We start from the raw sequence: 15,077 nt of genomic DNA on the forward strand, positions 1-15,077 counted from the left end.
TTTTAGAGGTGGGGTTTCACCATGTTGCCCAGGCTGGTGTCGAACCCCCGGGCTCAAGCAATCCACCCACCTCAGCTTCCCAAAGTGCTGGGATTACAGGCATGAGGTACCATGCCTGGCAGCTTCTGAGTCTTAACCCCAATGGATTAGACTTTCTGGAGGCCCTGTTTCCCTATCACCACCCCAACCTGGTCTTTAGGAGTCAGGAGTTAGTCCAGGGCTTGCTGGGGAGTTGGCGCAGTGACTGAGCAGCCCCCATCTTCCTACCAGGGCGTGGGTTTGCCCAGATGTACAGGTGGTCCCCTAGCTATGCCCTCCCGTTAGCCCTCTTCTCCACTGTCCTTAGTAGCATAGTCACTGCCCTCTGCTTCCATGGCCCTGGCAGGTCTGTCTGATGGCTAGGAGTCCTTTGCTGGAGGGTCTGTCCCCTGCCCACATAGGTGGTTGTCCCAGCTTTTCAGAGTTCCCTTGGCTTATCACTGGGCCTGCTTCAAAACCCTTTACTTGGGACCATCCTGGGCACCAGGCCCTCAGGGCCTCCAGAGAGGGCATCTGAGACTCATAGAGAATCAGCTTGAAGCTGGACAATCACTTTTTGTTGAAATAAAAACTGCTAACGTTTGTGGGGCACTTTATTGTGTGTGCCAGGCTCTGTTTTGAGGATTTCTAAACACTGGCCTCCTTAATGCCCAGAACAGCACCCCGAAGTGATGATTAATCATCCCTTTTCTGTAAGTGGGAACAGGGAGACTCCAGAGTTTGGTAACCTGTTCAGGTTCCCTACCAGTAGCGGGTGGTCAGCCTCAAAGCCCAGGCTGAAAGCCATCCAGCATGAGGGCTGAGGACCCCAGCAGGCACCAGAGGGTCTTTGGAGAGGTCACAGGTTGTCAAGTGGGTGAGAACAGGGCGGGGCAAGTTCAGGACCAGCCAGGGCCTGGGTGTTCAGGCAGTGGGAGAGTGGATGCTGGCACCAGTGCCATGCTGGGATCTGCAGGCAGCTTCAGCCACAGCCTTCCGGGGCTGATTTCTGGGCATGGAAGTGAGAACCAAAAGCTGGGGCAGGGAGCACCCTGGAGGGATAGCCGGGGAGCAGGTAGAGGGCCAAAACCTGGAGTGGGGGCAGGAGGTGCTCCAGCAGCAACTCCCCCAGAGGTGGGTCCCAACCTCCACGTCGGCCAATTCCAGGTGGCCCCACCGGGTTTCCCCCACCCCTTTGTCCCGCGGAGCCCCTCCCTCATGAGTGCTGAGCCCAAGGGCCAGGCTGTCCCCAGGGGCGGAGAGTTGCGGACCCTTCCCGATCCGGTAATGGGCCTGGGAGATGCCAGATTAGCGTGGTGCCTGTCCGGAGAGACGGGCCAGCTGATGCCCAGGTCGGGGCCCTGCCGCTGGCCACACTGGGCTCCGGTCCAAGGCTAGAAGGCTGGCCCCTGCTGCAACCCCTCTCCGGCTCCTCTGCCACCCACCTCCCGGGGCTGGCCGGCTGTGGGGAGCCAGGCGGCCGCAGGTAAACGGCTTGGGGCGGCGCCGGCGGCGAGGGCGCTGCACGGAGGGAAGCGCGGCGCCGGAGGGGTTAACCGCGGGAGGAGGGGGGCTTCTGCCGGCGGGAGGGGGGTCCCAGCCCCGGCGGCCGCCCGCTCCGCCCCTGCCGCCTCCGCGGCCCAGTCGGCACCGGCGAGGCCGTGCTGGAACCCGGGCCTCAGCCGCAGCCGCAGCGGGGCCGACAGTAAGTGCGGTGCGGGCTCCGGTGCGCGGGCAGGACTCAGGGGCAGGGACGCCCCAGGGGCGACTGGCCGGGCGGGGTGCCCACCTCTCGCGCGTGGGCGCCTCCGGGAGTGGTGTGGCCGCCGGTCCCGCCGCCCGCCACGCTCCGAGGCGTCGCTGTGCGGACGCGGGGGAGGCGGTGGGAGCGAGCTGCGGGCGCTGCGCGGTGGCCCTGCTGTCTGGCGTGTGCACGCTAGTGTCCACACACGTGTGCGTGGGCTCTGGGTGCCCTGGCGCGGCCGGCACGCCCATGGGGGCCGGGGATGCCGGGGCGTCTGCGGAGAGTGCAGGTGGGGTGCGTGCGTGCAGCGGGGCGGCGCGGCGCTGCAGCCTCGGGATGGAGCGTGGGCGCGCGGGTCTTTGTGCCCGCGCTTGGCGGCGCGTGCCGGGGCGTGTGTGCGCGTGGGCGCCGCCGCCCGCTGTCTCGGACTGACAGCTGTCTCGGGGGCTGTCGCCCCGGTGTGGCCTTTGCGGACCCCCGCCCCGCTTTTTCCGGGAACTGGGCGTCCCCAGCACCCCTCCTCGCCTGGGTGCGGCGGCCGGGACCCGCCCCTGGGTTCCTCGAAAGCCCGGCGGGGCGCGGGGGCACCCTGGAGGGCCAGCCAGGAAGCAGGGCGAGGCGAGAGGGGACGGAGAAGCCGCGGAGATGCTGTCACAGCCGCAGCGGGCGAGCAGGGACCCACCATTCCCCTGTCCCCGCCTTGCGCTGTCCGGCCTCTCCTCCGGGTTTCCCTTCGGACGCCTCCGAGCCCCCTCAGCCTCCTCCTCGAGGGCCAGCTCCCCGCACCCCCACCAAGCTCCACACATTTCCTCGCTCGCCCCGCTTCCCCCTAGGCAGGCTTAGGCTCTCTTTCGGCCTCCCACTCGCCTTCCTTTCCCTTCTCGGTGCCCTCCTCTCTTTCCTCACCCGGTAGTCCCAGACAGGGGCTGAGGGCCGGGCAGCGGAGGTAAGGGGAAGGCTGGAGATAGGAGGGGGACTGGGTGTGTCCAGCCAGAGGGATGTCTGTGGACAGTGCAGCTGGGGGCTTTATGGATCTTTGGGTGTGTAGGGGATAGAGGAGGAGGGTGTGGGTGTCAGGCCAGCTCAGTGACCCCAGCATCCCTGGTTTTGCCCGCAGTGACGACAGCTCCCCAGGAGCCCCCCGCCCGGCCCCTCCAGGCGGGCAGTGGAGCTGGCCCGGCGCCTGGGCGCGCCATGCGCAGCACCACGCTCCTGGCCCTGCTGGCGCTGGTCTTGCTTTACTTGGTGTCTGGTGCCCTGGTGTTCCGGGCCCTGGAGCAGCCCCACGAGCAGCAGGCCCAGAGGGAGCTGGGGGAGGTCCGAGAGAAGTTCCTGAGGGCCCATCCGTGTGTGAGCGACCAGGAGCTGGGCCTCCTCATCAAGGTGCGTGGGTGGGCCGCAGCCCCTTCAGCTGTCACCCATCACCCCTGGCGCTAGCTGTGTGCCAGTGAGGCCCTGTGCCAGTGCTGCTTTCAGATCAGTATCCCTGAGGACGGGTGCAGTGGGAGGCTGTGGGACAGAGGCTGGGGACCAGGTCTCTGTGTTTTCAATAGGGCAACTGTGGGGTCATTTGTTTTCCTGGAGAGCCTGGCACAGGACTGTGCACCTATAATGTCTCCTTCAGGGTGTGATGGTGGTGGGATGAGGGGGAAATGAATGAATGAATGAATGGCCATAGCGCATGGGCTATGTTACATTTGCACAGGTCTCACTCACCGGTCTAGATTGCCACACAAAATCCAAGACTCTCATTTAAACATGAATTACAGTTAAACTGCAAATGCCTTTTTTTTTGAGACGGAGTCTCCCTGTGTCACCCAGGCTGGAGTGCAGTGGTGTGATCTCAGCTCACAGCAACCTCCGCCTCCCAGACTCAAGTGATTCTCCTGCCTCAGCCTCCCAAGCAGCTGGTATTACAGGGATTCATCACCACACCCGGCTAAATTTTGTGTTTTTAGTAGAGATGGGGTTTCACCATGTTGGCCAGGCTGGTCTCAAACTCCTGACCTCAAGTGATCCACCCGCCTCGGCCTCCCAAAGTGCTGGGATTGCAGACATGAGCCACCACACCTGGCCCACAAATGCCTTTTTAATACAAGTCCATCCCAAGCAATATTTTTGTTTGCTAAATCTGGCAACCCTACCTACACCGGTTCCCATACTTTTCTTGGAGTCATGTGCCTTAGAAAAGCCCAAGAACATGGTGAACACACCCCCTCCCCCTGGAAAAGTGTGCATATGAACATGTGCAGGTGATTTGGGAGGGTTCCAGGATCCATGCCACCAGGAATGCCAGGTCAGGTGCCCCTTCCCCCAGCATGCATGCTTACCATGTGGGGAGAAGGGGGGGTGCGTCAGGGTTCCCTGAGGCACTTCTGGTCAGACTCCAACCATAGACTCAAGAAAGTGTTGGCCGGGCACGGTGGCTTATGCCTGTAATCCTAGCACTTTGGAAGGCTGAGGTGGGTGGATCACCTGAGGTCAGGAGTTCAAGACCAGCCTGGCCAATGTGGCAAAACCCCATCTCTACTAAAAATACAAAAATTAGCCGGGTGTGGTGGTGCATGCCTGTGGTCCCAGCTACTCGGGAGGCTGAGGCAGGAGAATCGCTTGAACCCAGGAGGCAGAGATTGCAGTGAGCCAAGATCACACCACTGCACTCACTCCAGCCCAGCCTGGATGATCGGTCTCAAAAAAAAAAAAAAAAAAAAAGAAAGTGTTGGGCTGCAGCCTTCTGGGATACAGTCAGGCAGGCACGTCTGTTACTTTTTCTGATTTCGGAGTCACTGTCATACAAAAAAATTAAGATTTAGCTTTAATAAATTAATGTCTATTATTTGAAATTGAAGAGTACCCTTTGTTCCCTGCCTGTTCTTTGTGGAGAGAGGGGCCATTGGCACGGAGGCCTCAGTGTTCCAGCAGATTCTCAAGGCAGCAGGACTCAGGGCAGAGATGAGTGTGGGGTGGGGTTGGGACACAGACCACCCGACAGCATCTCTGACACTTACAGAATGCCAGTGGAGGCTCAGAGAGGCGTGGGAAGAATGTATCTGGCCAGACCACAGGGCAGAGAGAGGGAGGGAGGGAGGGAGGGAATCTGACCTAGTTTGTCTTCACAATGGAATTGCTTTTTTCCTGGATAAGAAAAAGGAAGAAAAGGAGAGGCAGGACCTAGAAGGGTGGGTGACAGCCGCTTTATTTCTCTTCCACAGTAGGATTCACTCCCTGAATTAGTTGTGCAGCAACTGTGCACCTACTGTGTGCTAGGTGCTGTAGTGTTATATGCCAAGGGGATATTGGAGTGGATCAGACACAGGGTCTGCCTTGGAGGGTGTCACATCTAGGCAAGGGGAGAGATCCATGGTCAGACAGATCACTGTAGGATTCAGTGGAAAGGAAGTTTCCCTCTTTCTGTTAAGCACCAATTGTGCTAGACCTTGAGCTAGGGGCTGGGGACAAGGATGGAGATGTCAGGGGCCTGAGGGATGACCTGGTGATTGAAATACACCAGGCGAGAGGGGTAGAGAGTAGAGACGAGGGGCAAGAGATGCCCATGTGGAGAGACAGCATGGGCAAAGGCGTGGAAGCTGGAAAGTTCCGGAGCATTTTGCAGAACCTGGAGTTAGCAGATGCCTAGTCATTTGAAGCAAAAATTAGAACACACAGGATGACAAAGGATTTTTCCCTTAAGTCGTGAATTTATTGGAAAAGTGTTGCAAAATACACATTAAATCACTTTTAATTAGCTATTTCGCTTCTTGCTTTTATTAACAGTTATTACAGGAAATGGAATCATCTCAGAAAATCTGGGGGGAAGGTTGCTGTAACATGGGGTGCCAAATTGGAGTCCCAGGGAGAAGACTAGGGGAAGGGGGGTGGGGACCAGTTTGAAAAAAGGAATGCTGGTCTGGGGTGTTTAGGCCTGCAAGGAGTGGGGAGCCATGGAGGGTGTTGAGCAGCCACTTTAGGAAGATTAGTTTGGACTAAGTCTTGCTAATGAGGACTTCAGTCAGGGGGCGAAGAGGTGCTTTATGATACGCCCCACAGACACCATTCTGGTACCTTGACACTGCTGCTTGGGGAAGAGTCTCTCTGACTTCCTCTCACCTAGGGCAAGCACTCTCAAAATAGTCCCTGCCCATGGGACCTGCATGCTGGCGAGAGGGGGAGACACCCAAATAGGGACATTACATTCATTTAATAATATGTATTGGCTGGTCCGAATACAGTAGTGTTTACAACTAATTGATCACAACCAGTTACAGATTTCTTGGTCCCTTCTCCACTCCCACTGCTTCACTTGACTAGCCTTAAAATAATAATAATACTTATTGAGAGGTGCTCAATCAATATGATTTACACTGCAGCACAGGGTTTGGCTTGGGCTTCCTCAGGGGTGGGATGTGTGTGTTTTTGTGTGTGCATATAAACCTCCTAAAAATTGGGAGCAAAATTTTGTGGCATATAAACCTTCCTGGAGAGAAAGTCCCTAGCTTTCTTGAGATTTTCTAAGGAAAGGGACTCAAATTCAGCTTCCATAGGTGCAATGGGAGTGGTGGGGTTGGAAAGCTGGAAACACAGGGTGTGGTCACTGCTTGGGAACTTACTCAACAGTCAGTGCTTACTTTGTTGCACGTTCACAAAAAATCTGGGAGGCAGATGCTGTCACTATCCTTCCCACTTGAGACATGCAGAAGCTGAGGCCAGAGAGTTCACTTGCTCAAGTCCCATAGCACCAACATTTGAACCCAGGCAGTCTGGTCCCAGGGTCTGTGCTCCTGACCATGGTAAAAGTGGAAATTTGTTGTCTGAAGTTAGGGGCCAGATACTGAAAATGTTTCTCAAACATTGTAGAAGTCAAACAAACTCACCTGCAGGTAGACTGGACCCAGTTTGTATCTTCTGCTGTAAGGGACTGCCTCCTGGGAGACCAAAGGGAAGGGGAGAACAGGGAGGAGCAGGGAAGGAGCCACCCTAGAGACTGGAGGGGCCACGAGTTGCCCTAGACAGGAGGGAAGAACTGAAGCTCCTCCTTCTGCACCTTGTCCTGCAGGAGGTGGCTGATGCCCTGGGAGGGGGTGCGGACCCAGAAACCAACTCGACCAGCAACAGCAGCCACTCAGCCTGGGACCTGGGCAGCGCCTTCTTTTTCTCAGGGACCATCATCACCACCATCGGTGGGGGAGGGGATTGGCATGTGGGGGGCGGCAAGGAGCTTCCTCATGGGGGAAGGTGCAGGGAGACGGAGGGGTCCCAGGTGGCCCCTAGACTTCCTGCATCGCCCCTCTGCCCAGGCTATGGCAATGTGGCCCTGCGCACAGATGCCGGGCGCCTCTTCTGCATCTTTTATGCGCTGGTGGGGATTCCGCTGTTTGGGATCCTACTGGCAGGGGTCGGGGACCGGCTGGGCTCCTCCCTGCGCCATGGCATCGGTCACATTGAAGCCATCTTCTTGGTGAGCTGCTCCATGCCCTGCCTGCCCTTGTGCTGGGCTCCGGCTACCCTTCCCCATGTCCCTGGCACATGAGCGCGCCCCCAAAGACCATAAGCCTCTCCCACAGGCTCCTGGGGGCGGGAGTGGGGAGTATGGGAGTGGGGATTGTTGGTGTCTCCTGGGTCCTGCCTACTGCCCCATCCCGCAGAAGTGGCACGTGCCACCGGAGCTAGTAAGAGTGCTGTCGGCGATGCTTTTCCTGCTGATCGGCTGCCTGCTCTTTGTCCTCACGCCCACGTTCGTGTTCTGCTATATGGAGGACTGGAGCAAGCTGGAGGCCATCTACTTTGTCATAGTGACGCTTACCACCGTGGGCTTTGGCGACTATGTGGCCGGTGAGGCCGCCCTTCTTGTGCTGCACTTTCCCATCTACTTTATTCCTGATCAGGGGCTCTGCACTCCTGCCTTTCCCTCCAGATCCCATGTGGTTGCTCTAACCCCTGCATCCATCATGGAATGCACCATCACAGCCTTGCACACACACCAGCGCCTTATGCACACTCACATTCTTATATGCTTGAGTCCCATGCATGCTCACACATATATTAAATGCACCCCTCGCATGTGTCACATTCTTGCACGGGAGCGCCCCTTCTTGCATGCTTTTATCTTGCACACTTTCAACTCATGCACACCACTCATTTTCCTGCCTGCACTCACACACTCAAGCACATACCCATTGCCCTAGGGAGGGCAGGTCCTCTCCAGGAACTGGGAGGGGGGCACTGAACCAGAGCTCACAGGCTTGCCCCACAATCCAATTCTTTCTACCTTCCCTGGTGGTATCCCAGGCGCGGACCCCAGGCAGGACTCCCCGGCCTATCAGCCGCTGGTGTGGTTCTGGATCCTGCTCGGCCTGGCTTACTTCGCCTCAGTGCTCACCACCATCGGGAACTGGCTGCGAGTAGTGTCCCGCCGCACTCGGGCAGAGGTAGGCGCCCCAGGGTTGGCACTGTGCCTGCGCACTGTGGTGCAAATGTGCTGTTCCCTAGCAGGGGGTTGATCAGGCTGTCTCCTATCCAGGGCGTGGGCTCCTGAGGCAGGGGCTGAGTGAGCCTCTGTGTGTGCCCCGCAGGGAACAGAGGGGTATAAGTTTGTGGGTACCTTCACCACCTCTTCCTTCATGGGTAGGATTGCCGGATTTAGCAAATAAAAATGCAGAAAGCCAGCACAGGCAACATGGTGAGATCCCGCCTCTAGAAAAGGCACAAAAATTAGCCCTGCGTGGTGGTGTGTGCCTGTAGTCCCAGCTACTCGGGAGGCTGAGATGGGAGGATCGCTTGAGCCAGGGGAGGTCGAGGCAGCAGTGGGTCATGATTGCACCACTGCACTCCAGCCTGGGTGACAGAGTAAGCCCTGGTCTCAAACAAACAAACATTAACAACAACAACAAAAACAAAACTCAGTTAAATTTGAATTCCAAATAAATAAAATTTTATTATGGCGGGGGGCAGTGGCTCATGCTTGTAATCCGAGCATTTTGGGAGGCTGAGGCGGGTGGATCACGAGGTCAGGAGTTCGAGACCAGCCTGGCCAACACAGTGAAACCCCGTCTCTACTAAAAATACAAAAATTACCTGGACGTGGTGGCGGGCGCCTGTAATCCAAGCTACTTGGAGGGCTGAGGCAGGAGAATCGCTTGAACCGGGGAGGCAGAGGTTGCAGTGAGCTGAAATCACACCACTGCACCCCAGCCGGGATGACAGAGCTAGACTTGTCTCAAAAAAAGAAGAAAAAAAAAAAAAAAAAAAAAAAGCATGTCCCAAATATTGCACGAGATATATTTATACTAAAATTTTATTTGTTGTTTCTCTGAAATTCACATTTAGCCAGGCGATTTGTATTTTGCCACCCTGCTGGGAGCACCCAGTGGAGGAGCCCTTCCATCCTTGGGGCTGGCTGAGGCTGGAGGACCAGGCAGAAAAGAGGGTTGGGGTTTGATCCCTGCTGGTGAAGGGGCAGGTTCCCGGGGGGTCGCGGAGGGGGTCTAGACCTCTAGTCGAGGGCTGCTTTCCCTCTCCGTGCAGATGGGCGGCCTCACGGCTCAGGCTGCCAGCTGGACTGGCACGGTGACAGCGCGCGTGACCCAGCGAGCCGGGCCCGCCGCCCCGCCGCCGGAGAAGGAGCAGCCACTGCTGCCTCCACCGCCCTGTCCAGCGCAGCCGCTGGGCAGGCCCCGATCCCCTTCGCCCCCCGAGAAGGCTCAGCCGCCTTCCCCGCCCACGGCCTCGGCCCTGGATTATCCCAGCGAGAACCTGGCCTTCATCGACGAGTCCTCGGATACGCAGAGCGAGCGCGGCTGCCCGCTGCCCCGCGCGCCGAGAGGTCGCCGCCGCCCAAATCCCCCCAGGAAGCCCGTGCGGCCCCGCGGCCCCGGGCGTCCCCGAGACAAAGGCGTGCCGGTGTAGGGGCAGGATCCCTGGCCGGGCCTCTCAAGGGCTTCGTTTCTGCTCTCCCCGGCATGCCTGGCTTGTTTGACCAAAGAGCCCTCTTTCCACGAGACTGAAGTCTGGGGAGGAGGCTACAGTTGCCTCTCCGCCTCCTCCCTGGCCCCGGCCCTTCCCTCACTTCCATCCATCTCTAGACCCCCCCAAGGCTTTCTGTGTCGCTGCCCCGGGCGGGTGTATCCCTCACAGCACCTCACGACTGTGCCTCAAAGCCTGCATCAATAAATGAAAACGGTCTGCACCGCTGCGGGCGTGACGCTCCCGGACGCGAGTGGGTGTGGAATTGCTTTCCTCGGGCCACCGTGGGGGCACCTCTGGCCTCCCGTGACCCCCAGGCCGAGGGTCCCCGGGCACCCAGGTCGGTCAAGTCTCGGCCCTCTCAGGCCCGCGTCTCTGCCTGGAGGAGACTGTGTAGGGTCCGGCGTGGGGATCAGCCAGGATGGGCTGCGCGTCTCCAGCCTCTGCACACACATTGGCGGGTGGGGTGCAGGGAGGGAGAGGCAGGGGAGAGAGAATGGCATCTCGCGTGGAGGGCTGTCGTTTGAACTCTCCCAGCGCGAGAGACCCTGCCCCGCCCCCTTCCTGGAGCGTTGACTCCCTTCTCGTCTCGAGGCCTGTGGCGTCTGGGTCCGTTGGGGCAGAACCATGGAGGAAAAGCCTTCGAAAGTAAGACGTCTCCCTAGGCCCCTTACCCTGTCCGCTCCAACCCACCCTTGGTCCGACTCGGGCCCCTGGCGCTATTTCTTACTCAGCCTTGGCTGCCCGCAGCCCCCACCCAACCCCACGTTCTACGGGATCCCCAACCCGGCCCGGCTCAGTTCCCCAGCCCGCTCTTCCTTCCCGCTCCAGCCATCCGCGACCCTTGGCTCCCTCCTTGTATGTGGCCCACAGGTGTCGCTCAAGTCTTCCGACCGCCAAGGCTCGGACGAGGAGAGCGTGCATAGCGACACTCGGGACCTGTGGACCACGACCACGCTGTCCCAGGCACAGCTGAACATGCCGCTGTCCGAGGTCTGCGAGGGCTTCGACGAGGAGGGCCGCAACATTAGCAAGACCCGCGGGTGGCACAGCCCGGGGCGGGGCTCGTTGGACGAGGGGTACAAGGCCAGCCACAAGCCGGAGGAACTGGACGAGCACGCGCTGGTGGAGCTGGAGTTGCACCGCGGCAGCTCCATGGAAATCAATCTGGGGGAGAAGGACACTGCATCCCAGATCGAGGCCGGTCAGTGTGGCCTCGCCAGGCCGTGGGCACCCGCAGGGCAATAAGCTGGCCAGGGACTCAATTTCTGGAGCTGTAAAATGGGGGGAAGCTGATGGGATCCAAGTTTCTAGGATTCTCTGGGAGAGGCGCCCGCGCCAATCTTTCGCCCTTTAAATCCGCCAGGCATTCTTGGAGCGCCCCCTCCCGGGCAGGCGTTGTAACAGGCCTTTCGGTCGTGACGCGCAGAGTCCGGGGAAGGACGCACCAAATAAATTGCGCAAAGACCCCGTGGTAGGACCTGCGGGGTTTTTTTGTTTTGTTTGTTTTGTTTTGTTTTGTTTTTGAGACAGGATCTCACTCTGTCGCCCAGGCTGGATGGAGTGCAGTGGTGCGATTATAGCTCACTGCAGTTCAAGTGATCCTCCCGCCTCCCACTTTTTTTTTTTTTTTTTTTTTTGAGACGGAGTCTCGCTGTGTCGCCCAGACTGGAGTGCAATGGCACGATCTCTGCTCGCTGCAACCTCCGCCTCCCGAGTAGCTGGGATTACAGGCGCGCGCCACCACGTGCGGCTAATTTTTGTATTTTTAGTAGAGACGGAGTTTCACCATGTTGGCCAGGCTGGTCTCGAACTCCTGACCTCAAGTGATCCGCCGGCCTCGGCCTCCCAAAGTGCTGGAATTACAGGCTTGAGTCACTGCGCCCGGCCTTTGTTTTTTAGAGATGACGTCCTGCTTTGTCACCCAGGCTGGAGTGCAGTGTTGTGATCATAGCTCACTACAGCCTCAAACTCCTAGGCTCAAGGTATCCTCCAACCTCAGCCACCCCCACCACCCCGAGCTGGGAGGACAGGCCGGCACCATCCTGCTCAGCTAATTTTTTATTTTTTGTAGAGAAAATTTCGACATGTTGCCCCAGCTGGTCTCAAACTCCTGGGCTCAAGTGATCCTCCTGCTTCGGCTTCCCAAAGTATTGGGATTACAAGTGTGAGCCACCATGCCCGGCGAGACCTGTGTTTTTAATGGAATCATCCCACCAGTTGCAAGAGTTAACTCCTTGTCTTATGATTTGCGCTGGTTGAGGAGGTGTACGTCTTTCCATTAGTCAGTTGCTGGTTACAATTTCTAAGCCCCTACTACGTGCTGGGCACTGTCTGGCACCCCCTCAAACTACTTCATCAGAGAGTAAGAACCAATAACAGTATAACAATGGTTACATATTGAGCACTTGCTGTGTGCCAGGCACGGGGCTTCCCCTGGATTGTCACCTTCAAACTTCACAACCTCCATAAAGAGCTATTTATTTTTTATTTATTTATTTTTATTATATTTTTTGAGACGGGGTCTCACTCTGTCGCCCAGGCTGGAGTGCAGTGGTGCCATCTCGGCTCACTGCAAGCTCTGCCTCCCAGGTTCACACCATTCTCCTGCCTCAGCCTCTGGAGTGGCTGGGACTACAGGCGCCTGCCAGCACGCCCGGCTAATTTTTTGTATTTTTAGTAGAGACAGCGTTTCACCTTGTTAGCCAGGATGGTCTCAATCTCCTGACCTCGTGATCCGCCCACCTCGGCCTCCCAAAGTGCTGGGATTACAGGCGTGAGCCAACCGCGCTCGGCTATTTATTTTTGAGTCAGATTCTCACTCTGTTGCCCATGCTGGAGTGCAATGGTGCGATCTTGGCTCACTGCAACTTCCGCCTCCCCGGTTCAAGCAATTCTCCTGCCTCAGCCTCCTGAGTAGCTGGGATTACAGGTGCCTGCCACTATGCCTGGCTAATTTTTGTATTTTTAGTAGAGACGGTGTTTCACCATATTGGCCAGGCTGGTCTTGAACTCCTGATCTTGTGATCTGCCCACCTTGGCCTCCCGAAGTGCCTGGATTACAGGCGTGAGCCACCACTTGGCCAAGAGCCAAGAGCTGTTCTTTTTTTTTTTTTTTTTTTTAGTTTTTTTTTGAGACAGAGTCTCACTTCTTCACCCAGGCTGGAGTGCAGATGTACGATCTCGGCTCAGTGCAAGCTCCGCCTCCCTGGTTCAAGTGATTCTCCTGCCTCAGCCTCCCGAGTAGCTGGGATTACAGGCACTTGCCAGCAAGCCCGGCTAATTTTTGTATTTTTAGTAGAGACGGGGGTTTCACCATGTTGGCCAGGTTGGTCTCGAACTCCTGACCTTGTGATCCGCCCACATTGGCCTCCCAAAGTGCTAGGATTACAGGCATGAGCCACCGTGCCCGGCCAAGAGCTGTTCTTATTACCCCATTTTACTGATGAAGAACTTGAGGGTCAGAGAGTGTCAGTCACTGGTCCTAAGTGTCACACTGTGGGGCAGTCATTACTGGAACCATGTGGGTGGGGCTCTAAAGCCCAGGGTTGTAACCTCTGTCCCATGCTGACCCCAAGGCTGCACCAGGAGCTGGTCTCTGAAGGCCATTCCCTCTCACAAGGTGCCTACCCATCTCCTGTGCTCCAGGGAAGGCCCAGGAGTCTGCGGATGACTAACCCTTTTTTCTCTTCTCCCAGAAAAGTCTTCCTCAATGTCATCACTCAATATTGCGAAGCACATGCCCCATCGAGCCTACTGGGCAGAGCAGCAGAGCAGGGTTGGAGGGGCTGGGGAGACTGGGCGTTTCGGTGGGGTAGGGGATAGGCAAATTGGGGGTTGATAGGATATGAAAGTTGGGGGTGGTTGGCAGGGTGGAGGGGCAGGCAGGCTGGTTGGGGGTTTGGGGGCCACAGGGAGGAGGTGGGGGCATTTCAGCTGTGGGCAGAGATGAAGTACCTGGACGCCTAAGCCTCTTGCTGCTTCTCCAGCTGCCACTGCCCCTGATGGAACTCATGGAGAATGAAGCTCTGGAAATCCTCACCAAAGCCCTCCGGAGTAAGCTCCCCGCCAACCCCCAAGAACTCCCACGACAGATTCTGGTGGATTTTGCAGGGCTGGGGCCCAGGGGGGTGGGGTTTCAGGGTGCCTTATGTCTTGTCAGATGCCCTTGGCACTCACAAGTATTCCAAGGGCCCCATAAAAGTTAAAAGCTGAGGGACTGGGCACAGGAAGACCCAGTGGGGGACATGTGGTGATGGGCAGAGGCCTGGGCTCCAGGCTGAGTGCAGCCCCTCTCCAGCTGAGGGAGGCTTTTCTGTGGCTGTTTCTCCACCTGCACAGTGGGATGACCGCCTTGGTGTGGCCTCGACTGCCTCTGGTTGGGGAGTTGTGAGGAGCCTTTGGACAGTGGATTATGTGGGTGAACTTTTGCTGCTGTGGTAGGAAAGCCCAGCGGTGATAAAGGGCCAGCTGATGGCTTAGAGTGGGTGGCTGGTCCAGAAGGTGGGCAAACTGCTCGCTACCACCGCCCTAGTTCAGGCCTGCAACCTCTTCCCTAGCCTTGACCTCATCCATCCTCCACCTTAACACTCAGCACCCTTAGAGATGCAAAGTTCCCCAGGCTAACACAGACCTGAGTGCCCTGCGCTACTGCTACCTCGAATCATCTGCGGTTCCTCGAATCACACATGCGGCGCCCCCTGGTGGGGAGACCTTTCGGTTGCTCACTGCCCTGAGCCGAGCTCTGCCCTCCTCCTAGGCTACCAGTTAGGGATCGGCAGGGACCACTTCCTGACTAAGGAGCTGCAGCGATACATCGAAGGGCTCAAGAAGCGCCGGAGCAAGAGGCTGTACGTGAATTAAAAACGCCACCTTGGGCTCGAGCAGCGACCCGAACCAGCCCCGTGCCAGCCCGGTCCCCAGACCCAAGCCTGACCCCATCCGAGTGGAATTTGAGTCCTAAAGAAATAAAAGAGTCGATGCATGGTCCGTGAGTCAGTGCAGGACAGCCCGCGTGAGGCGGACGCACGTGGCCCCGCCCTTCCCCGTGACCTTCATTCGGTCACCGCAGTGACCTTCATTCGGTCACCGCAGTGACCTTGAGCTTTCTCCGTCCGGGCCCTATCGGCCCTACCTTCCGGGACTCGCAATCCAGGACTTATTGCATGTTTTAAGTCGGCTTCACCCACCCCGAGTTCCGCAGCTCTGTGGGGCTACTGGGTCTACGGTTCGAGTGCTCAGTTGGTGTCGCTTTGGGGGAAGGGGGTAGGGGGAACGGGGCAGCACCTCCCTCCTCGCGACGGCGCGCTAGGCTCCGCCCCTCAAGCATAGGTAGCAGGTCCAGCCTCTCCGCTCG

At 57.7% G+C, this 15,077-nt stretch overlaps 2 protein-coding genes and 1 long non-coding RNA gene across 6 annotated transcripts, besides 1 other annotated feature; all 3 read left to right on the forward strand.

The window, feature by feature from the left end:
* Positions 1–1,239: 1,239 nt before the first annotated feature.
* Positions 1,240–9,969, forward strand: KCNK4 (potassium two pore domain channel subfamily K member 4). 4 transcript variants are annotated; one of them, NM_033310.3, is made up of 7 exons: positions 1,240–1,504; positions 2,880–3,145; positions 6,816–6,939; positions 7,057–7,217; positions 7,405–7,591; positions 8,048–8,187; positions 9,284–9,969. In NM_033310.3, the coding sequence occupies exons 2-7, from the start codon at positions 2,957–2,959 to the stop codon at positions 9,662–9,664; spliced, it is 1,182 nt and encodes a 393-aa protein (NP_201567.1). In that variant the 5' UTR covers positions 1,240–1,504; positions 2,880–2,956; the 3' UTR covers positions 9,665–9,969. The 4 variants fall into 4 exon arrangements, 2 of the variants coding, with proteins under 2 accessions (NP_201567.1, NP_001304019.1); NR_133661.2 differs by lacking the exon at positions 1,240–1,504 and adding an exon at positions 1,661–1,723 and having other exon boundaries at positions 7,553–7,591; NM_001317090.2 differs by lacking the exon at positions 1,240–1,504 and adding an exon at positions 1,936–2,056.
* On the forward strand, positions 1,660–14,707 carry KCNK4-CATSPERZ (KCNK4-CATSPERZ readthrough (NMD candidate)). Its single transcript, NR_133662.1, has 11 exons — positions 1,660–1,723; positions 2,880–3,145; positions 6,816–6,939; positions 7,057–7,217; positions 7,405–7,591; positions 8,048–8,187; positions 9,284–10,369; positions 10,595–10,925; positions 13,420–13,499; positions 13,711–13,777; positions 14,481–14,707. It is a non-coding gene; the product is annotated as a KCNK4-CATSPERZ readthrough (NMD candidate) (long non-coding RNA).
* Positions 9,196–10,190: an enhancer, noted in NCBI's record as "H3K27ac-H3K4me1 hESC enhancer chr11:64066730-64067724 (GRCh37/hg19 assembly coordinates)". NCBI's record gives its function as "activates a minimal SCP1, AML or CMV promoter by ChIP-STARR-seq in naive H9 embryonic stem cells {active_cell/tissue: H9 hESC(naive)}" and the evidence as "EXISTENCE:reporter gene assay evidence [ECO:0000049][PMID:30033119]".
* On the forward strand, positions 10,296–14,708 carry CATSPERZ (catsper channel auxiliary subunit zeta). Its single transcript, NM_001039496.2, has 5 exons — positions 10,296–10,369; positions 10,595–10,925; positions 13,420–13,499; positions 13,711–13,777; positions 14,481–14,708. Exons 1-5 carry the CDS (start codon positions 10,349–10,351, stop codon positions 14,582–14,584), a joined length of 603 nt encoding a protein of 200 aa, NP_001034585.1. The 5' UTR covers positions 10,296–10,348; the 3' UTR covers positions 14,585–14,708.

Source organism: Homo sapiens, chromosome 11 (assembly GCF_000001405.40).
Source record: "Homo sapiens chromosome 11, GRCh38.p14 Primary Assembly".
Lineage (NCBI taxonomy): Eukaryota > Metazoa > Chordata > Mammalia > Primates > Hominidae > Homo > Homo sapiens.

Bases quoted from the DNA above. Each gene is read 5' to 3' on its own strand.
- KCNK4 (NM_033310.3), top strand. From the start codon at position 2,957: ATGCGCAGCACCACGCTCCTGGCCCTGCTGGCGCTGGTCTTGCTTTAC. The intron at 3,146-6,815 runs GTGCGTGGGTGG...CTTGTCCTGCAG, and splicing joins AGCTGGGCCTCCTCATCAAG to GAGGTGGCTGATGCCCTGGG. The intron at 7,218-7,404 runs GTGAGCTGCTCC...CCCATCCCGCAG, and splicing joins ACATTGAAGCCATCTTCTTG to AAGTGGCACGTGCCACCGGA.
- CATSPERZ (NM_001039496.2), top strand. From the start codon at position 10,349: ATGGAGGAAAAGCCTTCGAAA. The intron at 10,370-10,594 runs GTAAGACGTCTC...TGTGGCCCACAG, and splicing joins TGGAGGAAAAGCCTTCGAAA to GTGTCGCTCAAGTCTTCCGA. The intron at 10,926-13,419 runs GTCAGTGTGGCC...CTCTTCTCCCAG, and splicing joins TGCATCCCAGATCGAGGCCG to AAAAGTCTTCCTCAATGTCA.